General features: G+C 36.8%; 1 protein-coding gene across 19 annotated transcripts in view; it reads right to left on the reverse strand.

Annotated features, from left to right (window-relative positions):
* LINGO2 (leucine rich repeat and Ig domain containing 2) overlaps positions 1–20,966 on the reverse strand; it is a 1,275,985-nt gene that overhangs the window by 53,484 nt on the left and 1,201,535 nt on the right. The window lies entirely within an intron of this gene.

Consider the following 20,966-nt stretch of genomic DNA (forward strand, 5'->3'; position numbering starts at 1 on the left):
CATTGAAAATCAAGGAAAAATTACACAAACCTTAATGATTATTCTAAGCTCTGTTTTTCTTTCTCAAAGCACTTAGATTCAGGTACTCACACTACTACATAAGGACTCTGGTTGAATACAATGAACGGCAACAACAACAACAACAAAGGATTTTTTTCCATACTGAGGTGAGTTATTGAGGGTGTCTACAGCCTTCTCTGAAGAGCTTAGAGAGTAATTTTTCTCTCCCGGATGATTTGCTTGTGGCTTTGGTCTTTTTACCTCAGTGCAAGCAAGTGGATAGGTGACCTTTCAAGGTTATTCCATAAGCCCTGGCAATCTGTGTTCAGATGATAAATCAAAACAAAGACAGTTCAGAGGTTCGCCAGGGCTCTTTAGGGGCAGCCACAATTAGCATAGCTCTCTCAAGACCCGGCAGATGCTAGGCGTCAAGGCATCCTTATTTTTAGAACACTGGAGGTGGTTGCCCCCAAAAAGGATATAGACAGAAAGAGGAGCTGACCATGTCAAGGGCAACTTCAAACACATAGGAACACAAGTAAAACATTGATCATGCAAACATAGGGACCGTATAACTTTACATTTGGCAGCCATTGCCACTAGCTGTTTCTCCCATCTCATAAGACTCCTATGGATAGAACATTTTAGAAGACAAAAGTGAGAAATATGCATTATTTTATGTCAGAGGAAGTCCTGGTAGGTGTTTGCATTGTTTTGTGAGAAATAGGCAGTCATATTAAAATATTATATGTTTCAGTACCTGTCACTTTTCAGCTGAGCTGCCTTCCATTTTTTAAAAAATGTGCATTTGATCCCAATTTGCTTTCACCTGTCTCTCAATTTCCACAAGACTCTAGTTGTCACCAATATCGTACACTCATTTTCACTTCTATCTGTACCTAAACCCAAACCCTGACTATGGGAAATTACTACTCTGGGTATTCGGACGCATTTCTCCAACTTTTCTGCTTCTGTCAGGTGTTAATGACAAAGGTGTTAATGACAACACTGCAGGCTGTGGCCCCCAAATAACTCACCATCAGGTTGATGAATTTTCACTGAAAATACCCCTCCAGTCCTTTGCCCTAACCTGTCACTGACATATATAAACATTTTGACTTTATATATGTGTGCTTAAATCCTTTTGTTTTCTAATATTTGGATACTAATCCCAAGAAGGGCAGTGGATACATGCAAAATAATTGAAAACCATGTAAAACGTAGCCATAGATACAATGACTACATAAATCATGATGTGTTGGTTCAATGTAATGTATGCACTTACATAAAATTATTCAACAATTATTTATTGAGTCTATGTGCCATATTTTATGCAAGTTGTTAGAGCAGAGGCAAAGAAAACTATCTCTATATGGAAATATTATCATAGGTAAGGAAAAGCCAAAAAAAATTAAAATAGTTATGTAATGCAGTAAATGTTATAATGAAGGCGAGACTAGGATGCTGCGGGAGAACAGAGGAGGGAGTGATCAATGCAAAACTAATTTAATAATATAAAGTGAAAAAATAAAATTATATCAATACTATAAACACATTATACATGCATATAGACAAACATTAGGAAGCAATGAGGGAAAGTGAAGTTATGTTAAGGTGGTGGATTTCTGGTTGGTTTTCTCTTTTTTCCTTCTCTTTATTTTTGTAATAAATGAAAGTTTGGTGAGGGAACATTAACTAAAAGTAAATGGTGCCTTGTGTGAAGCGTCACTTATAAAATGGATCTTACCAAACTAATAGGAGACACAAAAGGATACTGACAGACTTTCTATACATAGACACATGAAACTGATGTGCAGACCAATCCCAATACCACTGAAAAGGCAACTTGTGAGAACTATGGGAGCTATTTTTTCCTTATATTAACTAGAATATATTGTCATTAGATGGGAAATCAACTGTAGAAATCAATCATTGTCTGGATAAAAATCATTAATCACTTGACGATGGTTAATGCAAAATATTGACTAATATGCTAATTTCACAGATGATGCTAACATTTATCTAATTTTCTGGAGTTTGGTAAGGCTAGCATTCAAATTGCAGTTGAATTTAGAGTTCTTTTATGTCATATTAAATTGGTAATTTTCCCCCCTCTTTTTCTTTGCCTTTTCACATGCATCCAAAGTTAAGAAATAGCTTTTCTTTCTTTGTTGAGGTAATATTTTGAACTTGGATTGTGGATAATTTCAGTATTATTGTTGGTTTCTCATGAACAATATCCATATGAATTCTCCTACGTGTTGAAATCCTATCTATCAATAAAAGCCCAGGCTGGGCATGGTGTCTCATGCCTGTAATCCCAACATATTGGGAGGCTGAGGTGGAGGATTGCTTGAGCCCAGGAGGTTGAGGCTACAGTGATTCATGATCATACCACTGCACTCCAGCCTTCCAGCCTGGGTAACATAGTGAGACCCTGTCACATACACAAAAAAGTTCATATCTAGCCACAACTTTCTTATGAAATCTTTCCTGTCGAAAACAAATCTTAAATGGATATATTTTCCTCTTTTTAGAATGCCTGCCTCTTTAAATATAGGTTAATAATTGGTAATTTATTAGTGTCTAAATATTTGTGTGCTAGTCTTCACTACTTTAATTATAATTGCTGAAAGAAAGGTAATCTTACATTTTAACATTTACCCCTAGTACCTAGTAAATGGCTGCAAACATAAAAGCAATTGAATCAAACCGACACAGAACATTTTATCCAACTGCTGCTGAATATGCATTCTTTTTGTGAGCACCTGGAACATTTTGCAATATAGACCATATGTTAGGCTGAAAACCAAGTTTCAACAAATTAAAAAAAAAAATCAAAATCTTATTACGTGTCTTCTCTGACCACCGTGGAATAAAACTAAAAATAACGAGGAACTTTGGAAACTGTACAAAAAATATGGAAATTAATCAACATACTCCTGAATGACCAATGAGTCAATAAAGAAATTAAGAAGGAAACTTAAAAATTTCTTGAGACACATTAAAATGGAAACAACATACTAAAACCTATAGGATACAGCAAAAGTAGTACTAAACGGAAATTTATAGCAATAAATGACCACATCAAAAAAGTAAAAAGACTTCAGATAAACATCCCAAAAATGGACCTCAAAGAACTAGAAAAGTGAGAACAAACCAAACCCGAAATTAGTAGAATGAAAGAAATAAAGATCAAAGCAGAAATAAATCAAATTGAAACTAAAAAAAAGGAAAATTTCGTTTTTAAAAAAAGTTAAACAAATTGACAAACATTTGACTAGACTAAGAAAAATGAGAAAAGAACCAAATAAGTAAAATTGTTAGAGTAGGCAGATAGGTAGACATGAGCAGGAGAGGGGAGCCCCTGAGAAAAGGGAGGTCTGGGAAATCCCACGCCCCAGGGACCACTGGAACCAGCATGCTGGATATGAGGAGGGGAAGTTCCTAGGCAGAAAGGAACACCCATTAAGAAGCCCTGTAATCATTCACTCTGCATTTAACCTGTCAGAACGTAGTTCGATGCATGCCTAAGGAGGGGCAAAGGGCAATGAAGAAATTCCTAAGAGATAACACAGGAACCATTCATATTCAACATTGGCCCACGCATGTGCACCAATTAATAGTAACTGATGGTCCTACAAAAGCCTGAGACAGGGACTAGGCAGGGAGGTGGTGGGGAAAGAAGTAGGGGACTTAAGGCAGGGCTGACATCACAAAATCCCAATGCAGAACTCTCAGGGTGCTGCTGGCCCATTCCCTTAAGCAGCTTGCAGCTTGCTTTGTCTTATCTTTTCAGAGTGTACTGTCTCTCTCTCAATAAACTCTCTGCTCTTAATTTGCCTTCAATGAATTCTTTTTGGCTAAATTAGTCACTTGGCAGAATACTTTCTCTAAGTAACACTAATAACCAGGATTCCTGAACCTCCTGGTAATGAAACAAAGACAAAAAAGGAGACCTTATAACTGATACCACAGAAATACAAAGAATCATTAGAGAATCGTGTGCAGCAATACACCAATAAATTGAAAAACCTCGAAGAAATGGATAAATTCTTAAACACATGCACCCTACCAAGATTGAACCATAAAGAAATAGTAAATCTGAACAGACTAATAATGAATAATGAGATAGAGGTGGTAATAAAAAGCCTCCCATCATAAAAAATCCCAGGCCCTGATGGCATCACTGCTGAATTCCACCAAATATTTAAAGACCTAATACTAATTCTACTCAAACTGTTACAAAAATTTAAAAAGAAATACTTCTAAACTCATTCCATGAGGCCAGCTTTACCCTGCTACCCAAACCAGACAAAGACGAACAATAAAAAACGCTACATGCCAATATCCTTAATGAACACAGATGCAGACATCCTAAACAAAATATTAGCAAACCAAATTGAACAACACATTAAAAAGAGCAGTCTCTATCATCAGGTGGGATTTATTCCAGAGATGTAAAGATGGTTAATCACATTAGTAGAATCAAGGACAAAAGCCATATGATTATTTGATGATCTCAATAAATGCCAAAAAGCACTTGACTAAATTTTACATCACTGCATGGTAAAAACTTTCAACAAATTGAGTATAAATTTAGAAGTAATATACCTCTAAACAATAAAGACCATGTATGGACAAACACACAGCTAACATCATACTGAATGGGGCAAAATTGAAAGCCTTTAAAGGTTTGGAACAAGACAAGGATGCCCAATTTCACCACTTATATTCAACATAGTACTAAAAGTTTTAGCAAAAGCAATTATACAGCAGAAAGAGATACAAGGCATCCAAATGGGAAAGAAGTCAACTGTATTTGTCTGCAAATGATATGACCTTACATTTAGAAAAACTTAAAAACTTAAAAACTTCAATAAAAATGTTAGAACTGATAAATTAATTCAGTAAGGTTGCAGTAAATGAAAAAAAATGCTCACCATCATTACTCATCTGGGAAATACAAATCATAACCACAGTGAGATATCATTTCATCCCCATTAAAATGGCTATTATCAAAAAGACAGAAAATAACAGATACTGGTAAGGATGTTGAGAAAGGGGAGCACTTGTATTTTGTTGGTGGAAATGCAAATTAGTGTAGCTACCATGGAAAACAGTATAAAGGTTCTTCAAAAAAACTAAAATACAACTATCTTATGATCCAAAAATCTCACTGCTGTGTATATATAAGAAAGAAAATCAATGTTTTAGAGATATCTGCACTCCTATGTTTATTGCAGCACTATTCATATAATAGCCAAAATATAGACTCAATCTAAATGTCCATCAATGGACAAATAGGTAAAAAATGTGGTACATATACATACTGGAATACTATTCAGCCATGAAGAATGGAATCCTGTCATTTGCAGTAACATAGATGGAACTGGAGGATATCATATGAAGTGAAATAAGCCAGGCACAGAAAAACAAATCTCTCATGTGCAAATTATCTCATGGAGGTAGTAAATGGAATGGTGGTTACTAGTGACAGGGAAAGGTAGTGGGAAGAGGAGATTTAAAAAAAGGGGGGTTAGTTAATGGGTAATACAGTTAGATAGAATTAATAAATTCTAGTGTCCAATAGCACAATAGGGCAACTATAGCTAACAGTAATGTATTGTATATTTCAAAATAGCTAGAAGATTTGCAACATTCCACACACAAAGAAGTGATAAATGTTTGAGGTAGTGGATATCCCAATTACCCTGATTTGATCATTACACATTGTATGCTTGTAGCAAAATATCACATCTCCATAAATATGTAGAATTAGTATGTATCAATAAAGAATAAAAATTAAAACACTTAAAGAGCCCAATAAATGCTTTTAAAAATTTGTATTTTCACATACACACATGACATACCTATTATTTTCAGCTTTAGCTGACACAGGTTTCAAAAATTCTCTTATGTCAAATTGAATTTTTAAACTCCAAAAGAGGAATTTAATATTCATATACACATATTCAGCAAGATTCCTTACAATACCATCAGTTACTTCTGACATATAATGACTCTTGCTGGCTTTATACTGAATTTAATCAAAGCCCAGTACAACTTTCTGCAACATTGGTAACTGGGTCAAATGCATAGGCCACTCAAGGTCTGGGCTAATTACCTACATTTGTACCACCTGGCAGATGTGAAAGACTTAAGATGTGCACGTGCTCATTAATTGAGGGTCAAGCTGTTCTTTGTAGAATTCAGCAAAACTTCAGCTGAAATATAATGCCATTCATTTTGCGGTAAAATTCCCAGGTTATTAAGCACTTTGAGATGTGCTCCCCCCTCCCCCCGTCATAAGTGAGAAATCTGAGTCCAGATGAACTTCAAACCTGGCCCTGCTCCTACAAGCTGTGTGACCCTGGACAGATCCCTGCCCCTTGTTGGGCCTCAGACTCCTGCCTATAACATATTTTTTCTAATGAATTACTAAGTACTTTTATGCTCAGACTGTAATTCTTTACTCTTTAATTGAATACTTGCAGCTAATTTTTACTGTGTACTTACTATGTGGCAGGCAATTTGCTTTTATGAGTTTGCACTCTGTATCAGGCTGAAATTAAGCCATCTTGGGTTTACCCACAATGGAGATCTTTGCAAAAATGTATCTTTTTGCCTTGTCTGTGAACTACTGATAATCCAGTGATTTGTTCTCTTTAAGACTAAATGGGTCGAAAGCAAGTTCAATGCTAATTTAATGCACTTATTTTCCAGCCACCAAGCAAATTATTCCTTCCCAAGTCATGTTCAGTGGAGCAGGTGTTATCCGTTTCAAAATGTAGGCCTAACTGGTGCATCTTTTAAATGGGTTTCAGGAAGGGGATTCACATGAGCCTTTTTTTGGGGTGGGAGGGGGGGAGGTGGACACCAGTCTGAATTAGTTGCTATTTTGAAAATTATAATATTTTAGTTTAATATAATGAGCTTGATACCCACTGAGGTAGCTTGTCTCCAAGATAACGGCCATCAATTCCTTTCTTCTCTGTATGCACAGGCCCTTGAAAGGTAAGGTCTGTTTCTCTTGCTACTTGAATCTGAGCTAGCCTATGTCTACATTGACCAACAGAATGTAGAGAAATGGAGAATATGGAGAAAGTGGTGCTGTGTGACTCTGAGGCTAGGTCATATGAAACCTTTCAGCCTCCACCTGACTCTTTTGGAATGCTCACTTTCGGTGAAGCCAGCTGCCATGTAAAAATGCCAACTGCTCAAAGACCATTATGCTGTGGAGAAGTCTAAACTAGCCATGGGAAGAAGCTTCATAGGGGGATATGCCTGACCAGCCCTCAGCTGTTCCAGTTATGCCAGCCCAGGAACCAGCAAGGATGCCCTCAGATGATTCCAGTCTCAGCCACCATCTGACGTCAGATATATAAGAATTTGAGGCCTGGCACGGTGGCTCATGCCTGTAATCCCACCACTTTGGGATGCCAAGGCAGGCAGATCACCTGAGGCCAGGAATTCGAGACCAGCCTGGCCAACATTGTGAAACCCCGTTTCTACTAAAAATGAAAAAGAAGTAGCTGTGCGTGGTGGCAGGCACCTATAATCCCAGCTACTTGGGAGGTTTAGGCAGGAGAATTGCTGAAACCAGGGAAGTGGAGGTTGCAGTGAGCTGAGATCATGCCATTACTGGGTCATGCATTCCATCCTGGGTGATAGAGGGAGACTGTCTCAAAAAAACAGAACAAAACAAAACAGAATTCGAGTAAGAACTGCCCAGCTGAGATCCATAACTGCCACAGCATGAGAGAGAAGAGTAAACTATTATTATGAGGTGGGTTGTTGTTACACCATACAAATTTTAAAAATACTCTAAGTTCAGCCTTAAGTACCTAGGGTTCTACAGAAGGTGCAGATTAGGGTCAGACCCAGAGTTGTCTCTTACTTTTGGTATCTGGTTAAAATCTTGGCACAGTAGAGAATTTATGTGCACCTAGGAGTGAAGAATCAAGAGGCAAAAGATTTATAGACCCTAAACTAAAATAATACCTGGAAGAAGAAAGGCACATTGGGTCCTGGACCTCATACTCCAGGTTAGTGCACATAACTAAAAATGAAAAAGCAAAAAAAAACCCAACACTGCCAACAACAACAACATACTCTCTGAAAAGCCAAGACAGAGAAGCCAAGAGGGTTTAGGAAGGCCATAATCAGAAAGCATCAACCACAAAAATTATAATGGAGGAATGCCTGGGTAAGAGACTCAGGTGGAAAAGAGAAAGATATGATGTTTTGTGTGCAGGTGTAACTTGCCAGCTGGCCGACGAACTGCAGATTTGACTTCATAAACCTCTACGACTTAATCACAGTGCCTAATCTTCAGAGAGAGAGAGAGAGAGAGAGAGAGAGAGAGAGAGTCTGTGTGATGCACGTGCATTTGCATGTATGCTTATGTAGGGAGTGTGATAGACCTTATATATAAAGGATACTCATTGGGCTTTTCATCCTTGACACAGTATGTTTATAGTGGGTCACTTCTTTCCTCTGCTGCCTCCCTGGAAGAGACTGCCACCAGGTTTCTGGAGTGCCCTTCCAGAAGTCTTCTTTTGAAATATTAGTGATATCCATTATCATGTACACTGACTTCTCTAAGTCCAATGAAAGACTGACTGTGCAAAGGACTTCTATAGATTAGGAGAGAGGTAGATGCTGACTTCTAGGACTTGGGAACTCCTAAATATATATTATTTAACATAGAGGTAATAAAAATCGTACATGTATTAATGGCACATGTATGCCATTAAAAGTAATGGCAAAAACCACAATCACTTTTGCACCAACCTAATAAAAGGCAATAAAATGGATTTTAAATAACAAATTCTCCTGTGACTCAATATTAGCTCCACTATACATGATGTCAAATAATTGTTGTTACGGTACTTGAAATAAGCTTTTGAGGGGATTGGATTGTTTTCTAAAACCTCTTTCTCAGATATGCAACAATGATGTGACATTGATTTTAGATACTTAACAGGATAAACTCAGTGAAAAGACTAGACACGAGTGAAGCAACCTGAATACCTCACATTCACCGAAGAAGCTCTATGGAGGGTATTGTATTAAATTATGAGAGGTGGCAGCAGTGCTCAAATTGCCATATGGCACAGCTCCAAAATCAACTTGTAAGCTTTTTGGTAACTTGAAATAAGTTTTCCCACTGAAAGAACATTATAAAGGATGCTAGCTTTACTGGGAAGACTTCAGAAACAGATTCCACACATCACAGAGCCACAGAGTGGTATTAACAAGCCGAAAAGAAGGAGGAGAAAAAAAGGAGGGAGAAAAAGAAAAGGAAGGTTGGGGATTATTTTCCTTCTGGCTCCTTCACTATAAATTTCAAAAGCCTGAGTCAATGGAGTTGGATTAAATTCTTTAATAAAGATACTGTGGAAAATTATTTCTTTAGGCACCAGACTTTTACATGGTTCCATGCTTGTCAAATGACCAACTTAATTTACTAGAATACAATCTCTGCATTCCTGACACCATATTCAATCAGACAAACATTTATTGAGCAGTATCTGAATGTCTGACACAGTGATAAGCTCTATAGAGCAATAGTTCTGACGTTTTTGGATTTCATAGTTTTTAAAAGTGGGGGCACTACCCGAAAGTTGACAATAGTTTTTTATTTGCCAAGAAAGTACACATAAAAAAACTGCCATATATTCTCATAATTATTCTTCACTCTAGCCTGATAGAAACTTTATCCAGACTCTCAAGTTGGGAGCCACTGTACTGTGAAGTACCTAAAATTAATACAAAACATATTCCCACCTGCCTAGTCTCCTTATCCTGACATGCCAGCTCAATTCTTATTCAAACAATGTCTAAAACTGTTATTTCTGTCAAGACAATTCCAAATTACTTTTACAAAATATTTTCGACTAATTGATTACTACTTAACAAATCAATCCTTCTTATTTCTAGACATCATCTGTTTGGGATCTATAATCACCATCAATGTGTTTTCACACATTTTTAAAGGAATTTTCTTAATCTAGTACAGAAGTTTCCAAACAAATTTTTTTTTAACTATAGAATCCTTTCTTCAAATGAAATCTTATTCAGAAAGACCAATATGTAAAATAGATCAAAGTGAGCTGTTCTGATTGAAGCAGCCAGCTTGGCTTCCCTTGCCCCTCTTCCACATGCCACAGAAGCCCTCAGGGCACTTTCACACAACCTCCAGGGATCCACAGAGCATTCCTGAATAGCAACTGATGTAACAGAATCATCGACTTGTAGAATTTCTAAGTCAGGAGATGTTAGGGACTATCACAAGTTATACAATAAGCCCATGATCAAGAAGAACCTTGGAGCTCAACTGGTTTATGCCTTTCAACTCCCAGATAAGAAAACTAAGGCCCAGAAAGTGTGCAAAATATGCTCCCAATCTTCTGCGCCTGTGTTACATTCAGTGCTACTTAATGGCAGACATAACTACAAATCAAGATTTATTTGCCCAAGTCCAGTGCTTTTCCTATATTGTTGCAAGTCTTTCAGAGGCATTGTTCCGGGGAAAAGATAGGACCATTCGGAAAAGAAATTTATTTAAAGCAGAGAAGAGAAAGCAGGGGGCAGAAAGGAAAAAAAAAGCACAAGTACAGCTGAATTATTGTTAGTTTCAAGTCTGAAGGAAACTAGGAATGAAATCATTGTTTACAAGAGGCTTACAATCTAGTCAGGAAAAAAAGGATGATGCACAAAAGGATGTTTACAACTTCTGTGATGCTCTAAGAAGATCTACTCCAAGCAATGACAAGTATTTATCAAAATTTTGATAATTGATACATTGAAAGTTACTCTGAGATATGAGAAAAACTTGCCACACCACACAGTTGAAAATTAAAATTTATAGCAAAATTTGACAATCAAGTTCATAAAAGCTGCCCTATGGCAAAACTTTCATACATTTTGGGAAGGAGCACTTACTATTTCACAAGTCACAGCACTCAGATAGGCTAAACCTAGACCGATCAATCAGATTGAATATTACAGTGTGAGCACCAGCAACATGACCAATGAACATAGATAAATGGGTCCTGGGAGCAGACAGTGTAGGCAGATTTATACACTAATATTTTATTGTCCACCATGAACTTACCGTCAGTGCCCAACAAATTAAATTCTCTCTTCCCTTCCCTCCATTTTTTTTTTGTTCCCTCTCGTATTTCAATTTGTTTCATATGACAAACCCAAGCCTGTAAAATTCATCTATCAGCAAGTGGTTCTAAATTAGAAAGTACCACAACTGAGAAAGAAGCAGACTTTCTAATAGTGCCAATTTATTTATTTTTCTATTGTTGAAAACCACTATAGTCATATTAAAGGAACTTATTCAAAAAAATTCTCATTTCTATAACTGTTTTCCATTTGTCCAGATTCCCAATCTGTTTATATTCTTATATATTTTTAAAATAGTTCAAATCATGCTGTGCCACATAATTTTGCATTCTTGTTGATTGTTGCCCTCTGTAAGAATTTGTGTGATGTTGCTACTTAGTCTGTTTGACAGAGACCCTTAAACAAAGCCAATGTATATGGAGATATTTAAGTACAAGTCCTTGAATAACGCCATTTCAGTCAACATCATTTCATCATAACATTGATGAGAAAAAAAATCGATTCCTAGCTAGGGCCACTGTCTGTGTGGAGATGGCACATTCTCCCCGTCAGTGGGTTTTCTCAGGCTACTCTGGTTTCCTTCGAAACACCATAGATGTGCATGTTAGCTGCGTTGGTGTGTTTCAATCGTGTGGTGTGTTCTAATCCCAGTGTGAGTGCGTGTCAGTGTATGTGTGAGTGTGCCCTACAATGGGATGGCATCCTGTCCATGGATAGTTGCTCTCTTGAGTGTGAAGCTGCTGGAATGGGCTCTGGCCACCTGTGACCCCCAAATGGAAAAAGTGGATTGAAAAATGAATAAGTTAATGAATATGAATTATTATAAAATTAAAATTTGTAAAGTATATATGATAATCACACAAATGCATGACAATAAATGATGTGGTAAGAAAGCATTAGTGATCCTGCCATATTTGTGATTATTTGCTTTTGGACTGCATGGTGGTAGGGAGAGCTCCTTAAAATTTCTGCTTTGCAAACATTTATTCCTTGATTTAATTCACTACAACAACTGCTGTCACTCACTGATTCACAAAAAATTGGGTAATTATCTCACTCATTTTTATTAGTTTTTGTTAACCATATAGATATATAGATATATAGATAGATAGATAGATAGATAGATAGATAGATAGATAGATATAGAGAGAGAGAGAGTTAGAGAGTTCACATTTATTTCAGTGTTTACTATTAGAGGTGTTTTGGGTCTTTATTTAGAAGTTCAATGATTTTTGAGATGGAGTCTCGCTGTGTTGCCCAGGCTGGAGTACAGTGGCACAATCTCGGCTCACTGCAAGCTCCGCCTCCCGAGTTCATGCCATTCTTCTCCTGCCTCAGCCTCCTGAGTAGCTGGGACTACAGGCGCCTGCCACCACACCCGGCTAATTTTTCGTATTTTTAGTAGAAACGGGGTTTCACCATGTTAGCCAGGATGGTCTCGATCTCCTGACCTTGTGATCCGCCCGCCTTGGCCTCCCAGTTGATGATGTTTTTGTAACTAGAAATATGCCAGAGGAACTTAATCCTTGATTATACCAATTGGTCTGTGGTAAAATTGGTTTTGTTATATGTCCTAAGTTGCAGTTTCCAGGAACCTAACAACATTAAGTGAGGATTTATTGCATATGAAAACTAGTCATCTTGGTTGGGACCGAGTTTGTCTTATTTGAACACCACTATGTACCAACACTAAGGAAATGCAAACATTGCTGGTTGAATATTTTTTTAACTAGCCATTTGAAAAAAGAGTGAATTTGAACCCACTTAATACATAATTTAACCCAAAGGTGACATGCTTTCTTTTTAAGAACAATGAAATAATCAAACTAGCCTTCAGTATGAGAATTATAATTTGTACGATATCTGTCTTGGAACATCTTGAATTGGCCCCTTATTAATCTAGCTTTTCTTGATACAGTGGTTTGTATTAAAAATGAAGTATCGACCTAATCCTATATAATAACAATTAATCATTTCCCATGATAAGTTTTTGATCTTTGTTTTTCTTATATACTTTAAAATACCAGGCAAGATAAATTATATTATTTAAATTTAATGTATATTTAAATAGACAGTAGCCTGTTAGTTCATTAAAAGGTAGAGATTTTTATCCGATTCATTTTTTTCTCTCACAGCTTAAAGCACAGTATTGTACAAATAGTATATGCTCAATAAAAGTTAATTGAATTGCATTGATCTTAGTTTCAAAATAATCAATTACTAGAAGACGTACCTTCTTGATAAATGTAAGCCAGTTTGTCACATAGGTTCTGACACTTATGAGTCATTTAGTGTATTTATCAATTAACTGCGTTGATGGTAAGGAGTGTGATATATTAGTTGATGACATATCAACTAATAGTTGATAAATAGTGTGATAAGTAGTTTTTTTTCCCCAGAGTTTGAAACATTCTCTGGCTTATAGTGGATACTCAACAAAGGCACCTGAACAAATTAATGGAGTTCAAGAGAAAGCAAAATTGGGCTGGGTTTTGAAGACAGGTAAGAGAGCTGATGTAGCAGAATGAGAAAGAGACACCAAAATAGGGTGATGGTTTGAAATGGAGGTATGGGTAGAGATAGAAATGTTGGAGAATGCGGCAGGGATCTCTGTTTTGGTAGCAGGTATGTATATAAGAGGAGTTCCTTCCAGAAATGGGTTTGTGTTTTTATCGATATGATTTTTAAAACCATCAACCAGCCCAGTAATAATGAACAGTAATGAACATGGGAGGCTTTTTCTTAGACATATGCAGCGAGGCTGCCTTTGTTACGCAAGAAGAGGGGAAATGTCCCTGATACCCATAATTAGGCAGTACATCTGAAAGTGGCAGGATACAGTTGTTTCCTTCCCTTGGAAAAAGGGAAATAATTAACTAGCTTTCCCAGTAACACATGACTCTCAACTGGATAAACTTTCTACTTCCTGCACGATGTGACTGGCTGAGGTCATACCAATCCAGTGGTCCTCAGCCAAATAATCATGTCAGGCATTTTCCATAGTGTTATGTGCCCACCATGGACACTTTAGAAGTTAAGACCATGTGTAGCTGTTTTAACCTTAGCCAATTTGGTTATCATGTTTCTTAACTGCTCTGGTGAGGATATCATATGTGATTCCCAACTTCTCTGAGATGATTTCAGAACAAATGAGACAGGATTAAAAAACTTTTCTCAGGGCCTCATTTTATTCTTTCCCTTTCCCCTTCTCTTGCCAGTCTTTTTCCCTCTACTTTTCTTCCCCACAGTTTCTATCTAATTCTCCACATATCCTAAGACACTTGGTATTCGGTGTTCCAAATTGATATACTTATTTTTTAAGTGAGAAGTTCAATCTTTTCTTTTTAAGTTTAAAGAATATGGCTGGTCCCAAAGTCTTGTGGGGCTGTAGGCTTGCTTGAGTGTGTTGTGTTGGTGGTGATTTCAGTCTGAGATTCATTTCAGCCGATGAGGGAAGTAAAAATGGCAATGAATTTATTTTTAATATATAATCTTTTATTTTGATTGCAGCTTTGACAGAACTGCATTTTTCAAATCTTTCCTTTATAGGGCCACCAAGACAGAGCAGAGGAGAAACAGCTTCATAAGAAAGCATCCAAAAATGCATAGATGGCCTTATCATTTTGAGATAGTCAACCTGGCCCAGTATTCCTTCTTTGTCTGGTTTCTATTAAAGCCATTAATGGATTCAGAGCACTGCACTTTCTGTCTATCTTCCTAAAGATGTAAACCCCAGTAGCATCAGAATCATATGAATAGGCCTGTATGTACTGATAAGCAATTATCACTGGGGTAAAAGGAAGAATGATAAGGTCTAGGCCTATCACAGGGCAAAGACATTAAGATTTATTTCCAGTGTCACCAGGAGAGCTTTGCTACCCATGCAAAGCTCCTTCCGGAAGAAAAAAAGAAAAAAGATGGAAAAAAGCATAAGGGGAGATAACATTTCTTGCAAACATTTATCAGTCAAAACAAGAAACTCTGAATGTGAAATTGAAACACAATCACAAAGTCAATTTTAAATGGGGAAAAGAGCCACAGAAAACATGGGCCTTCTGAGGATTAAAAAGAAGAAATCCTTACCTAAGATTAAAAAAATCCTTACCAGAGATCAAAATAGTGGGGCTATCAGAGGGAGGAATAGTGGAGATTGCCTTTACAAGTGATTTGGGATTGAAATAATTTATACAGCTTGTATTCAGCCACTGAGAGCAAGATGGAAAATTTATATAACTGTATAAAATGCCTTGCATTAGACAAGAACTATAAAAAATAGAACAGAAGCTCAACTCCAGGGACACAGAATTTTTTTATTAGGAAATCTAGGTTGGCCATGGAATGTAATTTTAATCATGAACTCAATGATGATGCATATTAATTCCAAACCAACCCTTTTAACCATGGTATATTTTGCCCCAGTAGGACTACAATAATCTCTCAAGGATAGATGAAAACTCTTTTAGGGAACACTTCTCACTACATGTTCTTTCTTAAGGCCTCCTCTCAGAGGAGTTATCTAGCAGATCATGGCATGCTAAAATGATGTATCATACATCAACCTCAGTGTTGCCATGTCTCAGAAATGCTTTCCCCTAAAACTAAACAGCAATACCTAACAAATGTTTATGGTTGAACAAGTGTAGAGAGCAGCTAATCCACATATACTGAGCTAGTCTAATTCATTTTATCTATTCATGTAACAATTATTTATTGAATACCTAGTATGTGTTAGGCACCAGACTAAGTACTAGGGATGCTTCCAATCTGGACCCTTGTGACTAGCAATGGGGCAATCTTGTGTTTCACTAGTCTGTTAGTTTGCTTTTAAGCTGTTTCATAAAGCTAGTAACTCCTCTTTAAAACAAAATCACTTACGTAGCATAGAATAGCAGACTTGTACAGATAGAAACAAACTCAGAGACAGTCATCTAGCCCAACTCCTTAATATAAGAAACAAAGTAAGTTCTATAGTCTCTTGTTGACAGCCTCATCGTCCACGTTAGGAAGTGGCGCCAAACCCAGGAAATAGTGTTATGTAAAATAACAGACACCCTGGAGAGTCATTTATAGAAGAATAGAAAACAATTGCATGGTAGAAGAGGAGGGCAGGAAAGACAAAAAGCGCTACGCATGATGAAAACTGAGTAACAGTCCAGTACCAAGTAAAGGCTTACTAGCAGAAAAGTTACTAGATTACTACTCCAAAAATGAACAGTAAATCTGACTGTGAAAATGTCCTTTTAATTATATTTTATCCACTAAAATAACCTCACTTATCTTTATTTCTGAAATATTAAAATGGCTCTATTGATAATTAAGATAAAATGGCTATGGGGAACCCTCTGTTAGTCACCAGATGCCCTGACAAATAAAACAAAACATTGGAGAAAATATAATGGGATTCTATCAGTTTTACAGATAATTCCATCAAACTGACTCTCATACCTTGGAGCTGCAGAAACATCAGTGGTTTCCTAAATGTTATCATTTTTTATTTTCATAACAATCATCTGACGGTTGGATGGCAAACACACCAATTTTTATGCTACAGTGAGAACATGTAAGTGACCTGGTGTGAAAGTCACAAAAGAAATCAAGATTATGGACTACATTTTTCTGGCTCCTGGCTTGGTTTTCTTTCCATTTTACCACGGTGTCACTCAAACAAGCCTAATGTTCAAAAAGTTCAGCAGGTGAGTTCTTCCTCTGCTCATGACAACATTCATGTGGCATCTTCCGCCGAGCTTAGATGGTGAAGATGACCAGCGCATGTTTACTGAATGACCACTTTTTGTTGAAATCAGGGGCTTTTGTTATATGTCCTAATGGAGGCTCCCGTCTTACATCGTTTGTCATCAGAATCTCCTTCACTCTCAGGAGAGGTCTGCAAAGGTGAGTGGGCTTTCTATGAAAAGTGATGAAGTAGGGAGAAACTCAAAGATTATGTTGCTGAGTTGCAAACTACTGGAAAATATTAAAGTCTAATATGATTCTCTTATGATGTTTCTCAGCCTTCTGGTATTTATTCCTCTATATCATCATAACTTGTGTGTTAAAAATATACATCTATTTACCTATGTTATACATATAATATAGATGATATCTATAAAATATGTAAATACAACCAGAAAGGTACAGCTGTATCCTTCTTAAATCAGTGAACATATCCATTTAATATAACTCCACTCTTGCAACTTCTATTCACCATTGCACTGAAGATTCTACTCAAGACAGTTATGGAAGGAAAAAAAGGAAAAGACTCAGATTGTAAAGGAAGAATTAAAAATCTCTCTTTGTTGATGACATCTAAAATAATCCACTAAAAACTATTAGAATAGATGAGTTTTAGCAAGATTTCAGAATACAAGATCAATATAAATACATAAATACTGAATGTATTTGACAATCTGAAAATGAAATTTAAAAAATTGAATTTCCAATAGCATCAAGAAGAATAAGATACTTAGAACTAAGTTTAAGAAAACAAATGCAAAACTAAAACATTGTTGAAAGACATTAAAGGCCTAAGCATATGGAAATATACCACATATGTTCACCGATTGAAAGGTTTAATACTGTTAAGATGACAGTGCCCACCAAAGTGATTTGCAGATTTAATGTAATACATATCAAAATCATGACTGCTTTTTGTTTGCAGAAATAGAAAAGCTGATTTAAATTTCATAAAGAAATTATAAGGAACCCAAGGTGCCAAAACAATCTCAAGAAAGAATATATTTGGATTATTCACACTTACCGATTTCAAAATTTACTATAAAGCAACAGTAATCAAAACAGTGTGGTGCTGACATTAGGACAGACATATAGACTAATGGAATAGAATTGAGAGTCTAGAAATAAATTTGTTGTTTTTTTGACAGATAATTCAAAGGGAAAAGTTTTTTTTTTTTCCAACATATGGTGCTGAGACAAATGGATATCCATATGCAAAAGAATAAAGTTGAACCCCTAACTTCATATGATACACACAAAAAAGTTAACTCAAAATGAGTCATAGACAAACTATGAGGCTCTTAGAAGAACACACAGGAATACATCTTCATGATCCTGGGTTAGCTAAGATCTTCTTACAGTATCAAAAGCACAAGTGATAAAAAAAAAAAGATAAAATGGGCTCTATCAAAATGAAAACTAGTGCTGCAAATAATACCATTAAGAAAATGAATAGACAACCCACAGAATGCAATAAAACATTTGTAAATTATAAATATATAATAAAAACTTGTAAGAAGACTATATATAGAACTTTTATGACTCAATAAAATAACCCAATTAAAAATAGACAAAAGATCTGAATAGATATGTCTCCCAAGAAGATTTTAAAATGACCACTAAACACATGAAAAAAATATTCAACATCATTAGCCATCAGGGAAAGACAAATCGAAGCCACAATGAAATACTACTTCACATCTGCTAGATGGTTACAATAAAAAAGGCAGATAGCAACAAGTGTTGACAATGATGTGGAGATATGGGAACTCTCATATATTCCTGGTGGAAATGTAAAATGGTGCAGCCTGTTTGAACAACAGTTTGGCAGTTTCTCAAAAAGTTACTATGGTAACATAGGTGTACCACATAACCCAGCACTTCTACTCCTGGGTACATACTCAAGAGAAGTAACAATAAATATCTATACAAAAACTTGCATGTGAACATTCATAGCACCATTTTTCATAATAGCCAAAAAGTAGAAACTTCCAAATGTCCATAAACTGATGAACGGATAAATAAAATGTGTTATCCGTATCTATGCAAAGAAGTATCCTTTGACAATAAAAGGGAATGAAGTACTGATTAACATGCTACAATCGGGATGAATCTTGATATCATTACGCAAAGTGAAAAAGGTCATTCACAAAAGATCACGTATTACATGATTCCAGTTACATAAAATGTCCATAGAGGAAGCAGAAAGTGTACATCATTGTGAATATTCTAAAAACCACTGAATTGTATACCTAACATGTGTATCTTAAAATTTTAGCATTAAATTTTCTTTTTAATTACAAAATTTAAGTATAACTGATTTGTATGGAGATAGTTTGAGTTGTAACAGCATTGAGTCAGCATGACTCTGCCCTAACATAGTTTGTAACCTAGACACCTGGACACTGAGACCTCACTCCTCTGGGCCCCTTTCCTCACCCATATGATACCACTTGATTGTTTTTCAAGCATTATAATCCCTCCTTTTTGCTCTGAATAAAATCTTACATGGAAACTCAATGTATAAAGCAGAGAAAAGCCCTATTTTTCTGATTCAAACAGGGATGGAGTTTCTAGATCCCACCCAGTCAGGTTTATTTCTTGAGTTGCTCCCTGCAATATCCTCAAATAGCCACAGAGCACCATGGGCTCAACAGCATTCCCTAGAAATACTGTTTTAAAATCAATCAAGGCTGGACACAGTGGCTGGCTTACGCCTATAATCTCAGCACTTTGGGAGGCAGAGATGGGAGGATTGCTTGAGGCCAGGAGTTCAAGAACAGCCTGGAGAATATTGTGAGACCCTGCCACTCCAAAAAGAAATTAAAAAATTAGCAGGCCTGGTGGCATGTGCCTGTCGTCCCAGCTACTGGGGAGGCCGAGGTGGAAGGATGATCTCTTGAACCCAAGAGTTCGAGGCTGCAGTGAGCCATGCTCAGGCCACTGCACTCCAGCCTGGGTGACAGACTCTGTCTCTAAAATAAAATAAATCCAAATGGGTCCAAAGGTACCTTCCAATCTTAACATTATCCACAGCTTATCCCCTTGTGGTTTAGTAGTCAATTAGGTACAATAACATATGGAACAAAAAAGAGGTGGGTGAAATTGAGTGACATTACGTCAGTCAACTGGTCTAGGGAAAGGGGATGTGAGTAGAGAAGGGTTCAAGAGAATGAGAAAGTCAAATGTAAGAGGCCAGGTCAAATTGATTTTTAAATCAGCAGTAAGGAACGAAGGCTGAATTTCTGTGACACGACACAAAAAATTGCTGGCACCAGAATTTTTCGTAGGGAGGGAAATAACATTTGTTTGGAAAAATTCCTTCACAGGTTGTTTTAGGAGGTGAGACAGGCCTGGATATTTGGAGAAAAGGAATCAAATACTGTGTACATCATTCTGCATTAGGAAATAGCAAGAATAGAGAGTACAGGGGTGCAGGGGAAAGAGTCAGAATGCCTGACTTAGGAACATGGAAGAGTAGCTGAGTAACTTTTAAGGACAGTAAGCAATTTGAATTTATGTGATATAAACCCCTCTTCATTGTCCCCAAATCTGGACTTCAGTTTGCTGCACACTCAAATACATGGTACTTTAGCAGTAGAAGGTCAGGCAGATGGGTGAAGTTATTTGGGCCACTTTTCTATTCCATTTAATTAAAAGTGATGGAATTGTATTTGATATATATATTAGTTAGAAGCTTCATGACCATAGGGATTGCTGAGCTCTGTGCATTTTCATCTTACTGCAGAGTTTAAATACCCTAAAGTGTGGTCACAAACTGTGAGAAAGCCTCAGGCTAAGCATTTCTAATGTTATTCCTGGCAAGAGAAGTGGCCTGATGAGGGAGATGCCTCCTGTGGTGGACAGTCAAGAAGACACAGGCAGGGCATGAACTCAGATCCACATGTATGCCAACAACTGCCCTGCATGTCAAAGGGAATGTTGGTCTCAGCTGTTAACCCCAAGCCTCTGAAGGACAGTCACATTGTGTGGGTCACTCTTATAACCACAGCATTAATGAATTTATTTCTTCATCTAGGGTGCAGTGGAACTTGGTGATTATGTTCTTCTGCCAGCTTTGTGTCAGTACA

Source organism: Homo sapiens, chromosome 9 (genome assembly GCF_000001405.40).
Source record: "Homo sapiens chromosome 9, GRCh38.p14 Primary Assembly".
In the NCBI taxonomy this organism is placed as follows: domain Eukaryota; kingdom Metazoa; phylum Chordata; class Mammalia; order Primates; family Hominidae; genus Homo; species Homo sapiens.